A 25832-nucleotide genomic window follows, 5' to 3' on the forward strand; every position below is an offset into this window, starting at 1 on the left:
CAAAATTTATAAAGAATTCATACAACTCAATTTTAAAAATGGGCAAGACCTGAAAAGACATTTCTCCGAAGACGACACACAGATGGCCAACAGGTATATAAAAGGGTGCTCAACATAATTAATCATCAAGGAAATGCATATAAAAACCACTCGAAGTACTACCTCTCACCAGTTAGGCTAGCTGTTATCAAAAAAAACAAAAGACAACAAATGTTGTGATGGTGTGGAATAAAAGGAACTCTGTGCACTGTTGGTGGGAATGTAGATTGGTACAGCCATTATGGAAAACAGAATGGAAGTTTCTAAAGAAAAATAAAACTACCATACGATCCAGCAATCCCTCTTCTGGGCATATACTCAAAGTAAATGAAATCACCACCTTGTAAATATATCTGCAGTCCGTGTTCATTGCAGCATTATTCATAGTAGCCAACATGGAGACAACTGAAGTGTCCGTTGACAGATGAATAAAGAAACTGTGTATATATATGCCTACACACAATGGAATATTATTCATCCCTAAAAAAAAAAAACCAACGATATCTTGCCATTTGCTACAACATGGATGGGCCTGAAGGACACTGTGCTAAATGAAATAAGCCAGACAGAAAAAAAGATACTGCATAATTTCACATATATGTGGAATCTAAAAAAAAAATTTAAATATATAAAGAGCAAAACTGGTTATAGGGGGATAGGGAGAAATGGGGAATGTAGGTCAAAGGATTCAAGGTAGCAGATATGTAGGATGAATAAGTCTAGAGATCTATTGTACAACATGAGGATTTTAGGTAACAAATTTGTACTGTATTTGGGATTCATGGTAAATGAGTAGATGTCAGCTGCTGTTGTCAAAAAACAAAAAATATGTGGGTAACTGAGATGATGGATATGTTAATTTGCTTCACATTGTATACCTTAAATGTATGCAATAAAATTTATTTTAAAAATAAAGCTGGGTAGTATAATAATAGAGGTAACAAGAACGGGTAGTCTGGAGCAAAGATCCGTCTTATTTGTGACTTACAAAGAGCACGCAGTGTATAGGAGGCATAATAATGATCTTCCTTTATTTCAAAAGTTTGTAAAAATTGGATCAATTAATGTACTTATTGTACATCCAAATCAAAACTTTGAAAAATAGTATAGGATTAAGTCTTCCTTCAATTTAACTTTGTTTTGTTACCAGCTTTTAAATGTTCTTTTGCCAAAGTAGACCAAGAAAAATGCTGCCTCCTGAAGATGTATTCCCTAACTCCTTTACTGTTTTAATTACATTTAGCTTATAGCTTAAATTCTTTTTCAAGCTTGCATTCTCAAAACAAAACCTGAGATGTTTCAGATGTACACTGAGTATTTAAAGGAAGCAAGATTGGAATTTACAGGTAACCATAACCCTCAGTCTTCAGTGGAAGCCTTTCAGTGTTTCCCAATTACAAGTTTGGATTTAAGAAAAAAGGCCAAGATGCCTACAAAAGTAAAGTTTTGCTTTACTTACACATGTCAATAACGATAAGACTTTTAAAATCCCTATTCTGTAAAATCGAGCAAAAGAAGTTTCCTAATTTAAAAAACTAGTGATGTATCCTTTTCCAGAAAGCAAATCTGCAGCAGTATTTCTATAATAATGCTACCCTTTTATTTAGAATCTTTTAAAATATGCTTTATTAATGTCAATTTTAAAAAATATTTGACCATTACAAGGAATTTTTATATACCCCCACTAATTAAGACAAGAATTTTGTACTTGTTGATGCTCTATTTACACAGTTTTCATTGGAAAACTGCTCTTCATTGCTTTACTGTGATGCTGACATTGCTTTTGTGATGCTGAATGCTGAGTACAAGTTCCTCTCCCATTTCAACCTGGATGGGATTATCTAAAACAACTGCAGCTTGTTTCCAGTGGGAGGCTTCACTTGAAGTATCCAACCTAATCTCTTCATCAAGGTACATATGATACCAAAATGGAATAGCAGTCAGTCTTCCAGATTTACAAACGTATACCTATGAAAATAAAGAAATTAGGAAAATATCAGAGTGCATAGAGTAGACTTAGATAAGTCTCTTTTTAGTTACTTTTAAATACAAAAATTTAAAATACATTTCACTAGATTTAAATCTTTAAAGTAGCTAAAAGTATGTATAAAAGTATTACCTAATTTAAGATAATTATTCTAAACAATAACAAACGAAATCATTTTGCATGTTGTCCTTACCTTTACTTCTCTGTTAGAGGTGTTCAAATACGGAGTCATTAAATCTAGTCTTAAGAGTTCCACTGGCTTGCTTAAAGGTATACAGGGCAATGAGGATAGGTCCAAAAATACACGTATAGGTACCTAGAGAAAGTATAAATTTTTCACTTTCACTTTTTCTTTTTGTGGTCAGGGCTCAAGTTTTTCACTTTTACACATTCCTTTTGTGGTCAGGGATTGCTTTGTACTTGACTCAATAGTACTTGACAGAATGCTTTTTACATTACCTCCTTTATATTCCCACATCAAGCTAAGGCTGGCTTTCATTAGAACTTTCATTGTTCCAGTACAAAAAGAATGAACAAACCAAGGTTTAGGCAGGTTAGATAATTTGCTCTGGTTTCCATTACCTGTAGATCTTTCATTTGGATGAGAGCAGATTAAATTTTTTCTTAAGCCAAACAGCTCTAAAATTTTTAACCCAAGGATTTGCTTATGAAATAATGGTACAACACTAATTGAATTGTCTCAGAAATGATGCCAGATTCAATCAAACAATAGTTGATTTCATTTGGAAAATAAGTTTATTTCCAGAAGGCAGTGGCTCTCAATCTTGGCTGCAAATTAAAATCACCTGGGGAGGTTTTTAAAAGCCCAGCTGTTCAGGCCACACCCCAAACCATCTGGCATTAGGATCCCCAGATGTTTCCAATGTACAAAGTTGTGAATCACTATTAAGTGTTCTATCAAGTTTAGTAGCAACTGAATGCTACTATTAATACTAATGATTTTTAGCCTCATCCTCATTTGAAACAAAGGAAACTGTCATTTAAAAACCACTTTTCCTTGTATAAGGCGAAACAGGACACAGATACATTCACCTCTCCCTGGGCATCCTTGAAAGCATCCAGCCTTTATTCCCCATAAAAACTCAACAGTAACCCCACACCATTTCTAAGACTCCTTGTTATGCCTTTTGTTCCTATTTTTACATCAAACCAGAAGAAGCCTTAGATTCTCATGTCACCTCTTATCACCTGCCTCCTAATCCCCACACTGCTGAACCCATACCTCATAGTCGGCCCCCACTTTTATTTCTCACACTAACTGGTCCACTCCTGTCTTTTTTTTTTTTTTTTTTTTTTTTTTTTTAATATAGGGTCTCACTCTGTTCCCCAGGCTGGAGTGCAGTAGTACAATCACAGCTCACTGCAACCTCCGCTTCCTGGGCTCAAGTGATCCTCCCACCTCAGCCTCCCAAGTAGCTAGGACTACAGGTGCCCACCACCACACTTGGCTAATATTTGTATTTTTTGTAGAGATGGGTTTTTGCCATGTTGTCCAGGTTGGTCTCGAACTCCTGGACTCAAACAATCTGCCCTCCTTGGCCTCCCAAAGGGCTAGGATTATAGGCATGAGCCACCATGCCCGGCCCTCCTGTCATCTTTGCCAGTTCCTTCTATATAACCAACCAAACCAAGCTCATAACTTTATGAGTTCTCTAGAGTTCAGTTCCCAGCCCTCTCTATCTACATGCCCCCAAGCTATTTCATCCAGTCTTATGGCCTTAAATACCAGCTACATGCTGCTAACTGCCAAATTTAAATCTTCAGCCCAGAGCTTTCTCTGAATTCTTACCCAATTGCTCAGTGACCACAGCTACACACAAAGCCTGATCCTATTTTCCCCATTATCAGTATGGAAACTATTCTTCCAGCTGCTTTCACCTAAAAAAAAAAGGAGTCCTCTTTCATAGCCCACATCCAACTTATCAAAAATTCTACCTTTATTTATTTTTAGAGACAGGGTCAGTCTTGCTGTTGCCCAGACTGCAGTGCAGTGGCACAACCTTGGCTCACAGCAGCCTCAGCCTCTTGAGCTCAAGCCGTCCTCCCACCGCAGCCTCCCGAGTAGCTGGGACTAGAGGGGCACACCACCATGCCTAGCTAATTTTTGTAGAGAGACAGTCTCACTTTGTTGCCCAGGCTGGTCTTGAACTCCTGGGCCCAAGCAATCCTCCCACTTTGGCCTCCCAAAGTGCTGGGAATTCAGGCATGAGCCACCACACCAGCCCTACCTTTAAAATATATTGAGGATCTCACCATTTTTGCACCACTTTCACTGCTACCACTCCAGTCAAAGCCACTGACACCTCTCACCTGGATTACTACAATAATTTCATGCCTTTGCCTGGTCTCACCAGTGTTTTATTCCTAACACAGCAACCACAGCAAGCCCTTCAAAACATAAGTCACATCATGTCAAGCCTCTGTTCAATACCCTCCAGTTGTTTCCTACCCCTTTCAGAGCAAAAGCCACAGTCCTTACAAATGGCCAGAAGGTCAACATCTGGCCCCTAATACTCTGACTGCATCTCTCATCACTCTCCCTCTTGGTTGCTTCTTGCTGTTTTTGATACTCCAATCGTGATCTTGCCTCTAGCTATTTACACTTGCTGATCCTTTGATTTGTGTGATTTGCTCCCTTATTTCTTTCAGGCCTCTGTTTATCACTTACCCATGAGTCCTTTCCTTAGGTGTAACCTTTATAAAATAGTATATCCCATACGCCACACTCCCTTAACCTGCTTTATGTCCACAGCACTTCTCACCATCACAGCAGTCTTTTTACTTGTTCATTGTCTCTTCCAATGTAAATGCTAAATCCACGAGAGAGTAAACTTCTCTCTTTATTTCATAGCCCTATTCCCCAAATCTAAATGTACATGTAGTAGACATTCAGTAAAAATTTGTTACTCTATCACCCAGGCTGGAGTGCAGTGTCGTGATTTCAGCTTACCGCAACCTCCACCTCCCAGGCTCAAGCAATTCTCCTACCTCAGCCTCCCAAGTAGCTGGGACTACAGGCATGCACCACCACACCCAGATAATTTTTGTATTTTTTGTAGAGACAGGGTTTCCCCATGTTGCCCAGGCTAGTCTTGAACTTATGAGCTCGAGCAATCCGCCCCACCTTTGCCTCTCAAAGTGCCAGGACTACAGGTGTGAGCCACCATGCCCAGCCCATTTCTAAGTCTTGACTCCTTATTTCCTAAACAGAGGCTAACCCCCTTTTCCTTGAGCTCTGTTTTCCTAGGCTCCTGCATTCCTGCTCTCTGCAGTCTGATTTCTTAGAATCTGAGCATTAGCTGCTGATACTTATCAGCTGCCAGCCTGAGGTCTCAATGTAAGGGTTCAAGTTTAGAACATAGATCTTTTTTGGACAAAGACCACTCTTTTTCATAAGATTAAAACCTAGGACCCTTCTTCCATTTATGACAGTGATTCGAAGGCGTATCTAAAAACTTTTTTTTTTTTTGAGATGCAGTCTCGCTCTGTCATCCAGACTGGAGTGCAGTGGCACGATCTCGGCTCACTGCAACTCCTGCCTCCTGAGTTCAAGCGATTCTCCCACCTCAGTTTCCAGAGGAGCTGGGATTGCAGGCACGCACCACCACACCTGGCTAATTTTTTTGTATTTTTAGTAGAGGTGGGATTTCACCATGTTGGCCAGGCTGGTCTTGAACGCCTGACCTCAAGTGATCCACCCGCCTGGGCCTCCCAAAGTGCTGGGATTACAGGCATGAGCCACACACCTGGCCAAATATCTATAAACTTTTATCAGCAGTCATGACAAAATTCCTTGGTTATTGTAACCTCTAGGTTGATTTTTACCTATAATAAGTTCCTTTGTTCTAGGAACTTATTATAGGTAAAAATCTAAGTCACTGTGATTAATCCAGCTAAACTTTAGTCACTGTGTTTAGCTAGATTAAACAGTGACTAAAGAGAGAGCGATGGTAGACTGTTCAACAGCATCCTGGTTGAACTTCTCCTCTAGACACTTACCTGAAACTGGTTAATAAAAGGTGCTATATTTAATCCAAGAGTACGTTCTGTTCCTTGAACAGCATTCTCCTCTAGGAGTGTCTGTGATTCCACAAGCAACCCAAACATCAGCACATACTGAGGAAAGATCTTGCCTCCAGATTGTAGTAAACACCTAAGAAAAAAAGTACATATTTTAAAAAGCTCTTGGGGCAGGGCGACAGTGGCTCACGCCTGTAATCCTAGCACTTTGGGAGGCCAAGGTGGGTGGATCACTTAAGCCCAAGAGTTCAAGACCAGCCTGGGCAACATGGCGAAACCTCATCTCTACAAAAAATACAAAAACTAGCCAACTAGATCCACAGGTGGCATGCACCTGTAGTTCCACCTACTTGGGAGGCTGAGGCAGGAGGACTGCTTGAATCCAAGAGGTAGCAGTTGCAGTGAACCAACATCCCGCCACTGCACTATAGCCTGGGTGACAGAGTGAGACTCTGTCTCAAAAAATCATAAAATAAAACAAAAAAAAACCCTTTGTAATCCCCTACATTGTATAAACATCAGTAACTAAGAATCATGATAAATTAGTAAAGAGCTACAGATTACATAGAGTCTAATGGACTTTCTGTTATTCATGGCTGGTATTTCAGAATAGTAAACCACTAGAAATAATTTCCCAAGTCAAAGTAACTACTGATCAGTGAAAGAGAAAAATGACAGGTTAGCTATTTAAATGGACACACGTCTTTAGATTCAGGAAAGAGTCATCAATGGATGCTAAAACTAGTAGGTCAAAGTTTGATTAGGAAAATATCCTTTTACAGTCTCCAAGTATCACCCCCAAAAATGACTTATCACAAAGGGGGAAACAGTAACTTACTGAATGGAGAAATGTGTAGATACAACTTAAACCATGTGATTGTATTAACATCAAAAACAATGGGACAGGCTGGGCATGGTGGCTGATGCCTATAATCCCAATACTTTGGGAGGCCAAGGTGAGAGGATTGCTTGAGCCCAGGACTTCAACCCCTGCCTGGGCAACATAGCAAGACCCCATCTCTACAAATAAATAAACTAGCCAGGTGTGGTGGTGCACACCTGTAGTCCCAGCTACTCAACAGGCTGAGATGGGAGGATCGCTTGAGCCCAGGAGGTCCACATTGCAGTGACAGTGACTGCACCACTAAAGAGACATGAAAACTAAATGGAATATATGATCCTGGATTGGATTCCAGACCAGAAACAAAAAAGCTACAAAGGACATTATTGTGACAACTGGTGAAATCTGGATAAGATTTGTAGCTTAGATAACAGTATTGTGTCCCTGTAAATTTCCTGATTTTAATAATTGTACAGTGATTATATCAGTGAATGTCCTATGCATTCCAAGGTATTAGGAGTAAAGACACATTGTATCTATGGTTCAGGGAAAGAGCCTGAAATGTTTTTTCCTGAACAATTTAGCAGATGTGGCAAAATAGTAATAGTGTATTACTATTACTGAGTGTAAGGTATATGGTAAGTTCTTTGTATTATTCTTTAACTTCTCCAAAGGCTTAAAAATTATTTCAAAATAAAAGGTTACACACTCCAAATGCAAAATTTAAAAAAAAAAAAAAAGTCCAAATACTCTAATACTGGAGGAGAGAGAGTCAAGGGTTAACAAAATCCTTTCTCTTCCTACGTTGACCTTGGGTTTACCTTCTCTTTCCCTGAAAATCTTATAAGAATAGAATGTCAGCTGTGTTTATCAGGAACACTGCTTATGGTTAAAAAAAAAAAAAAAAAAAAAGAATGCCTCTTAATAGGTAGACTATATCTGGATGGAGAGAACTACGAACAAAGGATAAATGCCTGACGGGAACCCATACCACATGTGGGCTTCCCTGAGAGTGTAACCAGGTGTTCATATTGCTAGGCCGTGGAAGCTGTGCCCATGGGAGAAGAGTTGCTATATGAAGCTAAGGGCTGTTAAGTCAAGGCAGCTTCCACACCTACCTATGTAATCTTGTTTCCTCACACCTGAGCTATGTGCTATGTGTGAAGGGAGAGAAGGGTGGGTGGGCCACCTACTGACATCCAGTGAAATGGAGGTGGAGGATACTTTAAACCAAATAATTATTTTCATTTGCCACATTTACAATCAAATGTCAAATCTACATTTTTACTGAATATTCCAAGCTTGTTCCTACTTGAATTTCTAGAACAGGATACTAGGCAGGTGAACTTTATATTATCATATGTACATTTCACAGTATGTTTTTACTCCTAAGTTAAATAGAGTAAGAATCCACTTATAAAAATACAGAACTAAACATTTCACCAACACATTTTTTCATATCTTAAAAAGTAATTCATATACATTTCCAAAATTATATACTATGTAGTCTCCCTAAATAGATCATTAAAACCTAAACAAGCTAAGCTATAAAACACCCCATTCCTCAAAACTACTTTGGCACTACTGCTCTTGAATTAGATTTAAATTAATTCTCTGGTCTCTTACTAAACTGATTATCTCAATTTTATAACCACTTAAAAGATATCTAAAGCAAGGACAATTAAATTATAATGACAAGACATGGCAACTAAATGCAATGTAAGACTCTTGATTAGAACTAGACTGGGAAGAAAAGCAATGAAGAATATTACTGGGGTAATGGAAAATTTTAATATGCACTATATATTATATAATAGTGTTTTATCAATGTGAAATATCCTGAGTGATAATTTTATTGTGATATGTAGGGGAAAACATTTGTTCTTAGGAAACACATGCTAAATACTAAAGAAAATATGAAGTTTATGATGCCAGCAATCAACTATCAAATGGTTCAGTAAACTAAACAATAATCTAGTGTTCTCTGTTATTATTCTTGCAATTTTTCCTAAGTTTGAAAATTTTCAAAATAATACATTTGAGGAAAAGTTAACAAGGAAACAGTCTGCTCTTGTAACAGCTCACTCTCTCCTAAAGACAAGCTAACCGGAAGCCATATCCCCAGCCGTGATGTGAGGAGCACAGATTCAGCAAGGAAAGTTAGAGATGACTCCTAAGTGTAATGGCACCAGACTGATAAAGATAAGTCATGTTCCTGAACCAGGATAATCTCTCTTTACCCACTAAATGTAACGACATGATCCTTCTGAGTTGTAATAAATCCTATATTCATAAATTAGCCTAAAAATGGACTCCACCCTGACCCCAGTGCTTTACTCATTGTTGCTATTCCTTTCCTATCAACTTTTTGTCATAATAGGTAGTCTGGTAGAAATTCAGTCTCCACAGTTAGTGAAATTTCACACATCTTAATAAGATTGCACAGCTCTTAACCAAATTGCAATCTATGCCTTTACCAAACTGGCTAAAATTTTATGTCTTCCCAAATCACTGGAAAAATCTTTTTTCCTCAAAAGGATCAAGTTTAATCCTGAAAACTCATGTTATTATCTGAACAACTGAAGTTATCTGCTAACTGTGATCCATTTAAGTGAAGATCAGATCTAATTTTCTTCAAGATCACAAAGGTCTCTGAAAGGAGAGACTAGCCACAGAACTTTATGTTGCTTGACTAACAACCCTCCACTCCCCAAATAGCCAAAGAGGTATCATTCTATGAAATTAGCAAGCTAAAAAAGCACACAGGTTAATAAAAGCTAACCTTGTAGCTATGTAATCTATGGGAGAAAGAGAGTTGGAGAACGATACCATGTGAGTCACTTAGGTAGTCTTAGGAACCATTTCTATTTATAAAACATAGGTTGAGCCCAGGAAGTCAAGGCTGCAGTGAGCCATGATCATGCCACTGCACTCCAGCCTGGGTGACAGAGTAAGAGCCTGCCTAAAAAAAATAAAAATAAAACTTCTGACACAAAGTGGTGGTGGGCTGGGGAGGGGGGGGAGGGGGGTGCAGGGAGGAGGTTCCCACCCCAAAAAAATTCTCAGACACCTTTTGAGTGTACTACAATTCAAATCAATTCTGACACTACCTGGAGTTAGCATCAGGTGCTATAAAAGCTCAGTCCCACATGAATGCCCCCAGTTCTGATGCCAATTGTAGGTCCTAGTACTTTTGGCCATCTATAAATCTGAAACCACCTTTGCAAAAATTATGGCAGTGCAAGAAATCTAACATAGCTCACTCCATCTTGCTTCTAACCTCACAAACTGACGGACCCAGGCATAGGGTAAGCTAACTGTGGGAGAAATTTTAGTTTATAGTTTAACTTTAAAGCACGGATGGTAATAGTCCCTTCCTGAAATGAACCCCCTCCTTGTTCAGGGACCAAAACAGCCACTGTAAAACTAAGGAAAGGCCACAAGGTTAGGATTATGGGAGGAGCCTGAATTCTGCTAAAATGTAGGCACAGTTAAATGATACCCAGTCATTGTACCCTAGCTTGTTTTTCTATAATGCCCTACTGCTCAGGAATCATGGTGCCAGAGGTCACAAGATGTATAACTGCCCCAATTGCTCCTATAGATAACATCAGTATTGTAAAACCTAAGATTGGTCTTTGAGACATTTTTCAGACTCAAATACTTCTATGACTCCCACCCAGAAAGTTGACTCAGCACAGGAAGATCGTTTTTGACATCCCTATGATTTCATCCCCAACCAATCAGCAGTATCCATTCCCTAGCCACCAGTCCACCAAATTATCTTTTAAAACTAGCCTCTGAGTTCTCAGGGAGGTGGATTCGAAAAACATGTCCCATTCTTCCACTTGCCTGCCTTGTGATAATTACACTTTTCTTTTTTTTTTTTTTTGAGACGGAGTCTCACTCTGTTGCCCAGGCTGGAGTGCAGTGGTACAATCTCAGCTCACTGCAACCTCTGCCTCCCAAGTTCAGGCGATTCTTCTGCCTCAGCCTCCTGAGCAGCTGGGATTACAGGCACACATCACCATTCCCAGCTAATTTTTGTATTTTTAGTAGAGACGGGGTTTCACCATGTTGGCCAGGCTAGTCTCAAACTCCTGACCTCAAGTGATCCACCCACCTCGGCCTCCCAAAGTGCTGGGATTACAGGCATGAACCCACCTAAACTTTCCCTACTGCAACTCCTGCTGTTCTCACTGTATTGGCTTTTCTGGGCAGTGGGTAAGAAGAACCCATCAGGCTGTAACAAATCAAGGGTTCCCACAATGTCCTCTTTGAGTTCAATAATTTGCCAGAATGGCTCACAGAACTCAGAAAAACACTTTACTTATATTTACGGATTTATTACAAAGGATACAACTCAGGAATAGCCGAATATAAAGTATACATAGGGCAAATATGATATTGTGATTATAATAAGATACATATATATCTGGTCTTCATCTTGTTTCCTGCCCCAGAACTCCTAACACCCTTGGAACCTACAGAATGGTAAGAGTATCTTCTGTATGCTAATGAGATAAATGATGACTAAGGGCCCCTACCTAGCCCTAGGTTGGGGGCTAAAAGACCATGGCAAGATTAGAGGATTGGGACTTTCCATCCAACCCACTAGCCTCCAGAGAGAGGAGACACACTGAAGGTTGAGTTGATCACTAATAGCCAATGATGTAATCAGTCATGCCTACATAACAAAGCTTCCATAAAAACCCAGAAAGACAAGGTTCAGAGAGCTTCCAGGTAGCTGAACACATGGAGGTTCCTAGAGGGTGCCCAGAGAGGGCATGGAAGCCCCATGCCACTTCCCACATGCTTACTCTATGCATCTCTTCATCTGGCTCTTCATCTGTATCCTTTGTAATATCCTTCATAATAAATGAAATGGGCAAACATAAGTAAAGTGTTTCCCTGAGTTCTGTGAACCACTCTAGCAAAGTAATGGAACTCGAAGAGGTGGTCTCAGGAACTTCCGATTTACAGCCTGTAAGAAGTACAAGTGACATACTTGTAACTGGCATCTGAAGTAGGGGGCAGTCTGTGGAACTGAGCCCTCAACCTGTGGGACCTGACACTATCAACTAAGTGATAATCAGTTTAGTTGTCTGTTATGTATGCTTGCAATTTTTTTTTTCTCTGTTATTATCCTTGCAACTCAACTTATGTATGTGAATGAGATGAATGGTGACTAAGGCCCCCTCCCTACCCTTAGGTTGGGGGCTAAAAGATAGTGTCAGATCTTAGCTATGTTCAGATAAAATGACCATTGCCTTGAAACTCTGCTTATCTTTACTAACATTAAGTGTTTTGTTGTTACTTACATTACTGCAACTGCTAGGCTCCTCAGAAATCTTTTGCAAAGCTAAATGATACTTCAGAACCATCCATGCCTTCAGCAATGAAAAAAATAACGTTGTAACTCAAAAGTCTAACAAACTACAACAGACTGGGTAATTTATAAAGAACAGAAACTTATTTGGCTGACTGTTCATGGCAGAGGGCAGAGAGAGAGAGAGAGAAGAGGGGGAGAGAGAGAAGAGGGAGAGAGAGAGAGAAGAGGGAGAGAGAGAGAAAGGGAAAGAGGGCTGACCTCATCCTGTAAAAAAAACCCACTCCCATGATAATGGCCTTAATTCACTAATGAGGGCAGAGCCCTCCTGACCTCATCCCCCCTTAAATATCACACCTCTTAACACTGTTGCACTGAGGATTAACTTTCCAACCCATGAGCTTTGGAGGAGACACTCAAACCATAGCCATGGTTTTTTAAAAAAACAAAAAACGAAAGAGCTTACCAAACCTTCAAGCTTTCATCTGTATTTTAAACTAGCATGAGTGAATAGAACTTAAGAATGAACTTTTTTTTTTTTGAGATGGAGTTTCACTCTTGTTGCCCAGAGCTGGAGTGCAATGGCGCGATCTCAGCTAACAGCAACCTCTGCCTCCAGGGTTCAAGCGATTCTCCTGCCTCAGCCTCCCAAGTAGCTGGGATTACAGGCATGCGCCACCACGCTTGGCTACGTTTTTTTTATTTTTAGTAGAAACGGGGTTTCTCCATGTTGGTCAGGCTGGTCTCAAACTCCAGACCTCAGGTGATCCGCCCGCCTTGGCCTCCCAAAGTGCTGGCATTACAGGCATGAGCCACCGCATCCAGCAAGAATGAACATTTAAAAACAACTGCAGGCCAGGCACAGTGGCTCACACCTGTAATCCCAACACTCTGGGAAGCCAAGGCAGGAGCCCAGTTACTACAATACATCACATTAACAGAATGAAGACCACATGATCATCTCAATGGACGCAGAAAAAGCATTTGACAAAAATCACACTTTCATTATAAAAGCATTCAACAAACTAGGAATAGAAGGAAACTACCTCAACATAATAAAAGCCATATATGAAAAGCCCACAACTATCATGTTAACATCACCACACTTAAAGACTGACAGCTTTTCTCCTAAGATCAGATACAAGGGAAAGATGCCCACTCTTTCCACTTCTGTTCAACACAGTACTGGAAGTCCTCACCAGAGAAATTACACAAGAAAAAATAACATATCCAAATTGGAAAGGAAGAAGTATAATTATCTCTATTCATAGATGATATGTCATATATAGAAAACTCTAAAGAAAAACAACAACAAAAACCTGTTACAACTCATAAATGACTTCAGCAAAATTATGGGATACAAAATAAACATGCAAAAATCAGCTGCATTTGCATGTACTAGCAAAGGCTAAGCTAAATAGAAAATTAAGAAAAGAATCCATTTATAATAGCATCTAAAAAATAAAATACTTAGGAATAAACCTACCTAGGAATACTTAGGCAAAAGACTTGTTTGTACACTGAAAACTATAAAACATAGCTTAAAAAAAAATTTAAAGACACAGATGAATGGAAAGGCACACTGTGTTCATGGATGGGAACACCTGCAATCCATATCAAAACCCCAAGAGTGTTTTTTGTAGAAACAGAAAAATTTACCCTAAAATTTATATGGAATCTCAAAGAACTGTAAACCGCCAAGACAGTCTTGAAAAAGAACAAAGTTGGAGGCCTCACACTTCCTGACCTTAAACAAACTACAAAGCAACAGCAATCAAGACTGTGGTATGGTACTGGTATAAAGACAGACATACAGACCAACGGAACTAGAAACAAGAGCCCAAGGCGGGCACGGTGGCTCATGCCTGTAATCCCAGCACTTTGGGAGGCCAAGGCGGGCAGATCACAAGGTCAGGAGATCGAGACCATCCTGGCTAACACGGTGAAACCCCGTCTCTATTAAAAATACAAAAAATTAGCCAGCTGTGGTGGCATGCGCCTGTAGTCCCAGCTACTCGGGAGGCTGAGGCAGGAGAATCCCCTTGAACCCAGGAGGTGGAGCTTGCAGTGAGGTGAGATAGCGCCACTGCAGTCTGGCCTGGACAAAAGAGTGAGACTCCATCTCAAAAAAAAAAGAAACAAGAGACCATATAAATAAACCCACAAATTATGTTCAGAAAACATATCCGAAATATGTTTTCCAAAATATACAAAAACATGTATATTTTTATATACACCATATACAAAAATTAACTCAAAATGGATTAAACAACTGAATATAAGACCTTAAACTATAGAACTTCTGAAAGACAATACAGGAGAAAAGCTTGAGGACACTGGATTCAGCAATGATTTCTTGGATATGATATCAAAAGCTGTTTTGCAACCAAAGCAAAAGTAGACAAATAGGACTAAATCAAATTTTAAAACTTTTGCACATCAAAGGAAATGATCAAAAGAGTGAAAAGGCAACCTATGAAGTGGGAAAAAAATATTTACAAATCATACATGAAATAAGGGGTTAGTATCCAGAATACAGAAATAACTCCTACAACTCAATAACAAAATAACCCGGTTAAAAAATGGGCAAGACTTGAATAGATATTTCTCCAAACTATGTACAAATGGTCAAAAAGTGTATGAAAAGATGCTCAACATCACTAATCATTAGTAAATCCTGACACATACTACAACATGGATGAACCTTGAAGACATTATGCTAAGTGAAACAACCCAGTCAGAAAAGGAAAAATAAATACTGTATGATTTCACTTGTTTGAGGTCTCAAGAGTTAGTTAAACTCATAGAAACAGAAAGTAGATTGCTGGATGCCAGGACCCAGGGTGGGAGGGGAGTATGGGAAATTGTCATTTATTCAGTATAGAGTGTTTTACAATATGAAAGAGCTCTGGAGATAATTTATGTAACGAGGTGAATATACTTCACACTAATGAAGTGAAAAATGACTGACTAAATTTTAGGAATATTTTATCATAATTTCAAAACAATTTTTAATAAAATAAAATGTGGCTATAAAGTGATTATACTGAATTTTTTCGCACACATAGAAGAATTTGCAAATTCATGTGTCACCATTCTCAACAGTCACACTGCAACTACAAAAACAAAAACAAAAGAAGATCCCCAAAATGGTCCATTATTCAAAACATGTCTGAAATACATCTTTGGTACTAATTTAACCAATTTCTTTACTTTCTAATTTAATTAATTTAAAAAAAACTGAACTTACCAAATTTGAATAATGACATTATAAAAAGGCCTCCACAAAATTTCTGGCTATTTACCAAAAAATAAAAAATAATAAATAAAACCACCTTTGCCACTGCTGTTTCTCCTAATCAATGTATTGTTATGAAGGCAATTTCAAAAACAAACTTTTTGATAAAAATCACTCAATTAGCTGAGATCACGCCGCTGCACTCCAGCCTGGCGACAGGGCGAGACTCCATCTCAAACAAAAAAAAAAAATCACTTAATTATCAAAACTTACCTAATTGTACACATAGGATTTCATCAGTATGTATACTTTAAAACCTATGAACCTATAAGCAGTGGCACATGCCTGTAACCCTAGCTACTCAGGAGGCTGAAGTGGAAAAATCACTTGAGCCCAGGAGTTCAAGACCAGCCTGGGCAGCACAGTGAGAACCACCACAACCCCACCCTATCCCCACCCCATCCCACCAGACCCCATTCTACCCTACCCCGTGTCTAAAAAAAAAAAACGAAAAAACAAAAAAAAAAAATCTATAAACTAATACTGAACTCTCGTTGGTAGTTTTGCTTTCCACAGTAGTATGTGTTACCAAGTTTGAAACAATGTTATGTGGATTCTCCCTATGAGCAAATGAGTAAGTATATTCATGTTAGTGAGAGCCAGGCTGTTATTGCTGGAGAAAGAATATAAATATGAAAAAAGGGAACACTATAATGTACCATGTGATAGTGGATTAGAACTGAAGGTATCAGTATTCACTCATGATTTTATATAAATAGATAAATTAAAAATACCTGTATGTGTGATTGTGCACACATATATGGATTCATGCGTGTGTACATGCACACAAAAACACACACATCCTCTTCCTAGCCTTTTCAACTCAGAGAGCCTAAAAGCAATGACCAGTAGCAATAAGCATACAGACCTATCATTAAGATCTTGGTTTCAGCCGGGCATGGTGGCTCATGCCTATAATCCCAGCACTTTGGGAGGTCAAGGGGGTGTGGATCACTTGAGGTCAGGCGTTCAAAACCAGCCTGACCAACATGGTGAAACCCCGTCTCTACTAAAAATACAAAATTAGCTGGTGGGGTGTGCCTGTAATCCTAGCTACTTGGGAAGCTGAGGCAGGAGAATCGTTTGAACCCAGGAGGCGGAGGTTGCAGTGAGCCGAGATTGAGCCATTACACTCCAGCCTGGGCAGCAAGAGCGAAACTCCGTCTTAAAAAAAAAAAATATATATATATATATCTTGGTTTCAAAATATGGTTCTCCACTAAAAGGAACCAAAAGGAACCAGAGTCCCTTGGAGAAAGACTAATCCTAAGGCTGGGGTTGAGAAAAATTCAAGATGAAAGTAAAACATCTGGTTGCACCAAAGTAAGAACATGCTTAAAGAATTATGGGAACGTGTCAAAAAGACACAGGAACTAGTTTAGAGGACCTCCCACTGGCCAAACCAGCGATGATTTTAGCAGCAAATGAAGTCACACGTCCTGAAAAGTAATGCTTGAGGAGCATACAGTGATCTTGACTTATTTTTACAGTTAAGCGATTAAAGAACTTAAGGAATTTACATAAAATCTGACCTCAAAAAAAAAACAAAGCCAAAAGTTATTATTTTGTGTTTTACCTGGATATTGCAGCTTTTTCCATTATTTCCTGCTGAATGAGCCCAGATGGCTCAATGACATCCAATATAATTATGCTCCATAACTTGTCTGATTTTGGCCTTTGTAACATAGCAGATTCATCCTCCACATGTCTCAGCCAAAACTCAAGTGTTTCTTTAGGAAAGTGATTGGCTTCAGATATGAGGTCCAGAGCAATACGATGCTGGTCTTTCTCCACAGAACTGTATGGTTTAACCTGCCCAAGTGTGCCAGCAATAACAGGCAGAACAGAGAAGCCTTCGGACACATCTAACACGTAGAAAGGTTCAAGGATGTTCTGTACAGTATTACTCTGTCCAGTTCCAGAGCTCATCTCATTCTGACAGTGAGTATCCATGGTCTGATACAGTTTCTCTGGAGTCAGTGAAGACAAAACTTTGCTCATTGCCATTTTAAAGCCTTCATGATATGGGATGTTGTTAAGCAAAGCAATTTCTGTAGATTCCAATATACATGTCTGCTCTACAGCATCTGGTTTACTGGTCTGAAGGTTAGCGAGGGCACTACAAAGTTCAGCCTCATTTCCTAACGATAACAAGTCTTTATTCTGGGTAAAACTTTTTGCAACATCCATTTCACATTCCAAACCCAAGACACTAATACTCTGGATTCTTAAGTAACAGTCTTGACAAGATACTTCCATCATCACATGGTCTCCAGGCTTTATCCAGTAGTCTTCATTAAATAGTAAGGAAGAAAAAAAATATGGAGTACTTATAAGCCAGAGGATCACATAAACATCTCCATCCTCCATCTAGCCCCCCATTCTTTAGATCACTATAGAAAGGATTACAAATACTCATTTAATATACAAAAAACTAGGAAAACTCTACCAGATTTACTTAGGGAAAAACTGAAATTTGAATACTCAATTAACCAGTAGCATAATGGAGACATTTGAGAGCTCCATTATTGACTCTGAGACTATCAGTATGATAATGTTTTTAATGCCATCACTAGGTCTCTCCATATCCCCAAATTGGGGTGTTGGTGGAGTACTGCAGGGGACTCTATCATCTTTGGTAATAAAGGCTAACAACAACAAAGATAAAATTCAGGGATAAATATCAAACCTCACTTTAGCTTAAAGGGACATTCTTTAAGAGAAATGTCCAAAAGAACAAGGTAACATTCAACAGAATCGTATCAGTTATATTTGTTAACTGTAAGTATTTTAGACATTCTTGCATGTCTAGGAACTTCAAAGTATAAGGAAGAACCAAGTCCTACAATAAAGACCATATGATACTCCCTTCATATATGGGAAAACTTTTGTTTGTTTTGTCTTTTGAGACAAGATCTCACTCTGTCACCCAGGCTGGGATGCAGTGGTGTAACATGGTCCCCTGCAGCCTCCAACTCCTGGGCTCAAGTGATCCTCCTGCCTCAGTCTCCCAAGTAGCTGAGACTACGGATACATGCCACCAGGCCCAGCTATTTTTTTTTTTTTAAATAGAGATGAGGTCTTGCTATTTTACCCAGGCTGGTCTTGAACTCCTGGGCTCAAGTGTTCCTCTTGCCTCAGCCTTCCAATGTGTTGGGATTACAGGCGTGAGCCACTGTGCCTGGCCTACATGTGGTAAAATTTTAAAATGTAAATGTATAATCGCAATTCCTTCTCATTAACCCTGGAACCAGTTGAAAATACAAATTGTTATACTTTTTTGGGTTTTTTGGAGACAGTGTCTTGCTTTGTTGCCTAGGCGGGAGTGCAGTGGTATGATCACTGTGGCCTCAATCTCAGGGCTCAAGCTATCCTCCCCACCTCAGCCTCCAGAATAGCTGGGACTACAGGCGCTCACCATCATGCCTGAATTTTTAAATATTTTTAGTAGAGACCAGGCTGGTCTCAAACTCCTGAACTCCAGCAATCCTCCTACCTCAGCAGGAGGATACCAAAGTGCTAGGATTACAGGCATAAGCCACTAAGCCCAGCCATAAATTGCTATTCTTATGCTTAAACATGTAAATGTCCTTTCTCTAAGAAGGTTTAAAAAACAAAAGATCATCTGTCTAAGTTACTACAGGTATAAGAGAGTTAGAATAAACACAAGTAAAAAATGTCATTCACTGAGTGCCAGTCACTGTGGTCGGCATTTTATACCCACTATCTCTAAGAATCCCTATAACAGTGCTGCAAGATAAATGGTATCATCCCGTTTTTATATATGATACAACAAAAGCTCTGAGAAACAAGTGGCAAGGATGGCCAGGAAGGAATGAGTAAGTAGCAGAGACAAGAACTGAATCCAAATCTACCTAACTCCAAAAACAACATACTGGCTACAACAATATACTGATTCCAGGCCTTTATGACCTTGCCAAATTAGATCCTTGATTAAGAAACTAAACAGAAATAGATGTATTAACTTCCAGTTTAAGAAGGGTAGAGTTTTTCTGTGTGTGTGCGTGTGTGTGTGTGTCAGGATGTCCCTCTGTTGCCCAGGCTGGAGTGCAGTGTTATAATCTTGGCTCACTGCAGGCTCAGCCTCCTGGACTCAAGCGATCCTTCTTCCTCAGTGCCCCAAGTAGCTGGGACTACAAGCACTTGCCACCATCCCCAGCTAAATTTTTTCATTTTGTAGAAATGAGGTCTTGCAGCCGGGCACGGTGGCTCACACCTGTAATGCCAGCACTTTGGGAGGCTGAAGTGGATGGATCAAGAGGTCAGGAGATCGAGACCATCCTGGCTAACACAGTGAAACCATGTCTCTACTAAAAATACAAAAAATTAGCTGGGCGTGGTGGCATGCACCTGTAGTCCCATATACTCAAGAGACTGAGGCAGGAGAATCACTTGAACCCAAGAGGCGGAGGTTGCAGTGAGCTGAGATTGCGCCACTGCACTCCAGCCTGGGCAACAGAGCGAGACTCTGTCTCAAAAAAAAAAAAAAAAAAAAAAAAGAAAGAAAGAAAAAAAGAAATGAGGTCTTGCTATGTTGCCCAGGCTGGTTTAAACTCCTGGCCTCAAGCAATCCTCCCACCTGGGCCTCCCAAAGTACTAGGGTTACAGGTGTCAGCCACCATACCCAGCCTAAAAAGGGTAGTTTTTCTATATAATTCAACTACTTTAAACTTACTGAAACCCATCGAATCACTGTAAAAAAAATTTCCATACAAAAAAAAAATCTTTATACAGAACTTCCCTAGGGAAGTTCAGATTCATGAACTCTCTAAAACTGAAAAATTTTGTGCTTATATGAGTGTGTACATTTTTATGATGCAGGGCTCCACAGACGTTATCGGCTTCTCTAAGGAGTAAGAACTCCTGCACTAAAAGCAATACTTTTCCAGTACTTTCCATGAAATAATGGAGCAGGATTTCTTTCATCTACTGATAACTAGAAAAATCGGCCGGGCGCAGTGGCTCACGCCCGTAATCCCAGCACTTTGGGAGGCCGAGGTGGGTGGATCACGAGGTCAGAAGATCGAGACCATCCTGGCTAACACGGTGAAACTCGGTCTATACTAAAAATACAAAAAAGTAGCCAGGCGCAGCAGCGGGCGCCTGTAGTCTCAGCTACTCGGAAGGCTGAGGCAGGAGAATGGCGTGAACCCGGGAGGCGGAGCTTGCAGTGAGCCGAGATCAAGCCACTGCAATCGGCCTGGGCAAAAGAGCGAGACTCTGTCGTTAAAAAAAAAAAAAGAAAAAAGAAAAATCAGAGCTGAAGAAATAATGATAGGTTTTTCAAATGCTATGCAACAGAGTTGTGTTTGTCTCTCTTAACCACAAATATTACCTATTTCAAATTTCTTTTGAAAAAAAATGAAGTTCTGAAAGATTTAACCAACCTCCTTTGACTGAAACCTTCATATCCAAAGTAATTTTTTTTTTGCCACTGACTTGAATACTTAGAAGATTAAAGCAAGAGGTTAAAAAAAAAAATGGACAAGACCTACCTGCAAGGTCCTGTACGGGGTAGACAGCCTGTTCCCAACATGTTTCCTCACTAGGACTTGTGGATAAACTATGTTCATCATCAAGCTGGAGCACAAACCAAACCATAATAGCATCTAGTATGCCTTCTTTAATAACAGGAATACCAATCTTATCAGGCTTTTTAGTTGCAAGACTTTTTAATTCCTGAGAAAAATGTAGAAGGAATGAAACGGTTTTATATATTTCATATATACTTGCCTCAGTATCTTACCATTTTCCATCTCTGGAGTTCTTAGTCCTGCCCAGCTCCCTTAGGGATTCAGTATCTTGGCACACCTATAACCATGTAAGGCCCACTGGTTGGGAAGCTCTGACCTATTTTATTGGAATACCATGCAGCTATTATTAAAAAGAATGAAGCAGATATATATTGCTGATATGGAAAGAAGTCCATAATATATTGTTGAATTGAAAAGGTTAAGTGACAAAGCAGTGGAGATTGTTTTGTTTAGAAAATAGAGGGGGATGGAGGGGGGTAGAGAGAGAGAGGGAGTAGTGAGAGAGAGCATGTGTTTAAGAGAGAGAGTGAGAAAGAGAGAGAGTGAGTGTGTATGTGTGTGTGTGTACAGAAAAGAAAGTCTGGAAAGATGTACTTCAAACTAGTGACCTGGGGAAAGGGTTGAGATTTTAAAAAGGAAGAAAAATACTAGGACTTTTTCCTTTCTATCCTGTATTGCTTGAAAGTCTTAAACAGGCAGGCATGACTTTTGAAATTAAAACCTTAGTAAGATTTGTGTGTGGCTAAGAAAAATTAAAATTTTAAAAAGCCTTAAAATAATAAAAGGATAGTTCGGGGGTAAATGGCAGCTACAAACGTGTTACTTGCTATTGAAAGTCGTAACAGGTAAGGAATGCTCTTGAAGCTCAGAAAGCTCAGCCTCAGTAAGCAAGGCCAAATTGTTAAATTAGTTCCAGATCTCCTCAAGAACAATGTGGTAACAAATAATAAAGGAAAGCTTCTATTAAATTATAAAAATCTTAGGCTAGCTGGGCATGGTGGCTCACGCCTGTAATCCCAGCACTTTAGGAGGCCAAGGTGGGTGGATCATTGAGGTCAAGAGTTTGGGGCCGGGCACGGTTGCTCACACCTGTAATCCCAGCACTTTGGGAGGCCAAGGCGGACGGATCACGAGGCCAGGAGATTGAGACCATCCTGGCTAACACGGTGAAACCCCGTCTCTACTAAAAATACAAAAAAGTAGTCGGGCATGGTGGCGGGCACCTGTAGTCCCAGCTACTCGGGAGGCTGAGGCAGGAGAATGGCGTGAACCCGGAAGGTGGAGCTTGCAGTGAGCCGAGATCACGCCACTGCACTCCAGCCTGGGCGACAGAGTGAGAGTCCACCTCAAAAAAAAAAAAAAGAGTTCGAGACCAGCCTGGCCAACATGGTGAAACACCATCTCTACTAAAAATACAAAAATTAGCCGCTCATGGTGGTGGGTGCCTGTAATCCCAGCTACTCGGGAGGCTGAAGCAGGAGAATCACTTGAACCCGAAAAGTGGAGGCTGCAGTGAGCCAAGATCGCACCACTGCACTCCAGCCTAGGCAACAAGAGGGAAACTCTGTCTCAAAAAAAAAAGAAAAAAAAGAAAAAAAAATCTTAGGCTAAAATTACCCTCACAGAGTCTTCTATCTCCAAACAGGTTTCACTTACAACATTTATGTACTTGAACATTTAACCTTACCTATTAAAGATCTTTAGAGAATTCTATGTAACCTTTCCAATTTCTTTGGGCACTTTCTTTTCTTTTTTTTTTTTTTCTGAGACGGAGTTTCGCTCTTGTTGCTCAGGCTGGGGTGCAATGGCGCAATTTTGGCTCATGCAAACTCCGCCTCCTGGGTTCAAGCAATTCTCCTATCTCAGCCTCCCAAGTAGCTGGGATTAGAGGCACCCGCCACCACACCCAGCTAATTTTTTGTATTTTTTTAGTAGAGACAGGGTTTCACCATGTTGGCTAGGCTGGTCCTGAACTCCTGACCTCAGGTAATCCACCTGCCTCGGCCTCCCAAAGTGCTGGGAGGACAGGCATGAGCCACCTCGCCTGGCTGGGCACTTTCTTTATACAGAACATCCTCACGCCATTCACTAACACACACACTAGAGTGATAAGCTTCTCTTGCTTTTCCTAGGAATGTCTTAGTTTCAAAATAGAAAGTCTCAAGTCTTGGAACCCCCTTCAGTCCTGGACAAACCATGAAGGCTGGTCACCATAATGCACATACAACCTAGAGATTTGGATTATTGTTCATTTTGTTAATTTGAAATGGCAGCATGATATAGAGATAAGTCAGAAAGACCTAGGTTAGAATTCCTGCCCCTGTATTCACATATTGAATAACTTGGGGGGAAATTATTTAATGTGAGCAACAATTTCCTCATCTGTGTAACACAAGGATAATTATAATTGTATGGCAGTATGTCATAAGAGCTGCCTAAGAACACAAGTGAAAGCACCTGGCACCCTATATATTCCCAACAATCTTAGGAGGGGTTTTCTCTGTATTTAAATAAGCAGGCTGGCACAGTGGCTCCTATGCCTGTAATCCTAACACTTGGGGAGGCCAAGGTCAGCAGATCGCTTGAGCTCAGAGTCTGAGACCAGCGTGGGCAACATGGCAAAACCGCATCTCTACTAAAAATATAAAAATTAGCCGGGCACAGTGGTACATGCCTGTAGTCCCAGCTACTTGGGGGACTGAGGCAGGAGGATTGCTTGAACCTGGGAGGTCGAGGCTGCAGTGAGCCGAGATGGTGCCACTGCACTCCAGCCTGGGTGACAGAGCAAGACACTGTCAAAGAAAGAAAAGAAAGAAAGGAAAGAAAAGCAAGGAAACCAAGGAAGAAAGCAAATAATTTCAGGAAGAAATTCTAATTACCCTTTAATCATTTTCTTTACATACAATAAGTGGAATCTTCATGCAAACTCATAAAATAAAGACTGTCTGTCCTATATATTATTTTAAACAATGCATGAAATTTAATGCTTGAAAATAGTAACTGAATTTTTTTCACCTGAAGGTTGTTGAAATCTACTGTCATAATTTCAAAGCACTCTGTCAAAGCCAAATATCCTCCAGGAACTCGACTCATCTTTTCAGTTGTATAAGGTTCAATTGTTTCTTCAGTATCTACAGAAGAATAAGCCGGACTCTGAAATTTCACATTTGTTGGCAAATGGATACCAGCAATGTCCTTAATACCCACTCTGGAGAGAGAGAAAATAGGGGAGGGGTAGGAAGATGGATTTTTTTAGAATCAAGTAACATATCTAATACTGAGTCCAGAAAAAAATACAAAAATGAAATAAAACCTCATGAGCAAAGATTTCTTAAACATAACTACATAATACACACACATATAAAACCACTAACTATAAAGGAAAACAACTATAAATAGGTCTATAATAAAATTAAGAATGTCTGCTCACTAAAAAAAAAAAAAAACACCCTGTAATAAAGTAAAAAGCAAGCAACTAAGATATTTGTAATAACTATATTCAATAAAGGGCTCATGTCCAAAATATATTTTAAAATTCCTACATATCAATAAAAAACAAAAATGGGCAAAAGACTTAGACACTTCACCAAAGAACATATCCAAATGGCCAATAAGCACATGAGAAAAGGTGCTCAGCTTCAACAGCCACCCAGGAAATGGAGTTAAAATCACAATGCAGGCCAGGCGCGGTGGCTCATGCCTGTAATCCCAGCACTTTGGGAGGCCAAGGCGGGTGGATCACGAGGTCAGGAGATCGAGACCATCCTGGCTAACACAGTGAAACCCTGTCTCTACTAAAAATACAAAAGATTAGCCGGGCGTGTTGGCGGGCGCCTGTAGTTCCAGCTACTTGGAAGGCTGAGGCAGGAGAATGCAGTGAACCCGGAAGGCTGAGCTTGCTGTGAGCCGAGATCACGCCACTGCACTCCAGCCTGGGCAACAGAGCGAGACTCCATCTCAAAAAAAAAAAAAAAAAAAAAAAATTCACAATGCATACTACGCATCTGACAGAATGGAAAAAAACAAGTAGTCAATAGCAAGTATGGTAAGGATACAGTCTCATACACCATTGGAGTATAAAATCAGTAAGATCACTTTGGAAGACTACTTTGTAGTACCAATTCGAGCTGAGCATACCTATTCAGATTCATTCTTAATGTAGGAACCTCACAGTGTTTGGCATTTCCACTTCTGAGAATATAGTCAACAGAAATTAATACATATTATCACCAAAAGAATGTTCAAGAATGTTTATAGCTACACTGCTTCTGATAGCGAAAAAAAACTGATATAACCTAAACATCTATCAGTAATATAACAGACAAATCTAGTATAGTCATATAATGGAGTATGATTCCGCAATGAGAATAAACAAACTAAACACAAAAGAAGCTAGGCACGCAAAAACAAGTCACACTGTATGGTTCTATTTGTATAAAATTCAAAACAAGCAACACTAATCTACGGTGTTAGAAGTCAGATAGTAGGTGCTCTAGGGAGAGTGGGGCACTGGTAAAGAGATGGGGTTTCTTCCTGCACACTTTATATTATATAGCGGTAATATTCTGGTCCTTGATGTCAGCACTGATTACCCAGGTCTATCAACTTCATGAAAATTCATCAAATCATAAACTTATGGCTTACACACTTGCTATAACAATGTTTGATGTCAACAAAAATTTACATTGGGCCAGGCATGGTGGTTTACACCTGTAATCCCAGTACTTTGGGAGGCCAAGGTG

At 39.8% G+C, this 25832-nt stretch overlaps 1 protein-coding gene across 7 annotated transcripts in view, besides 1 other annotated feature; it reads right to left on the reverse strand.

The window, feature by feature from the left end:
* Positions 1045-25832, reverse strand: part of PRMT9 (protein arginine methyltransferase 9) — a 46379-nt gene continuing 21591 nt past the window's right edge. For 6 of the 7 annotated variants that reach the window (NM_001350143.2, NM_001350141.2, NM_001304458.2 and 3 more), the window contains 6 exons: positions 24106-24298; positions 21052-21235; positions 17112-17826; positions 6047-6200; positions 2220-2342; positions 1045-2007 (listed from right to left, as the gene is read on the reverse strand). In NM_001350143.2, the coding sequence (NP_001337072.1) occupies positions 1792-2007; positions 2220-2342; positions 6047-6200; positions 17112-17826; positions 21052-21235; positions 24106-24298 (1585 nt within the window). In that variant the 3' untranslated portion in view covers positions 1045-1791. Of the gene's footprint in view, positions 2008-2219; positions 2343-6046; positions 6201-17111; positions 17827-21051; positions 21236-23764; positions 23863-24105; positions 24299-25832 lie in introns of all 7 variants that reach the window. The other variant, NM_001350144.2, reaches the window with a different exon arrangement.
* Positions 18759-19417: an enhancer, noted in NCBI's record as "NANOG hESC enhancer chr4:148576650-148577308 (GRCh37/hg19 assembly coordinates)". NCBI's record gives its function as "activates a minimal SCP1, AML or CMV promoter by ChIP-STARR-seq in naive H9 embryonic stem cells {active_cell/tissue: H9 hESC(naive)}" and the evidence as "EXISTENCE:reporter gene assay evidence [ECO:0000049][PMID:30033119]".

Source organism: Homo sapiens, chromosome 4 (assembly GCF_000001405.40).
Source record: "Homo sapiens chromosome 4, GRCh38.p14 Primary Assembly".
Classification (NCBI taxonomy): domain Eukaryota; kingdom Metazoa; phylum Chordata; class Mammalia; order Primates; family Hominidae; genus Homo; species Homo sapiens.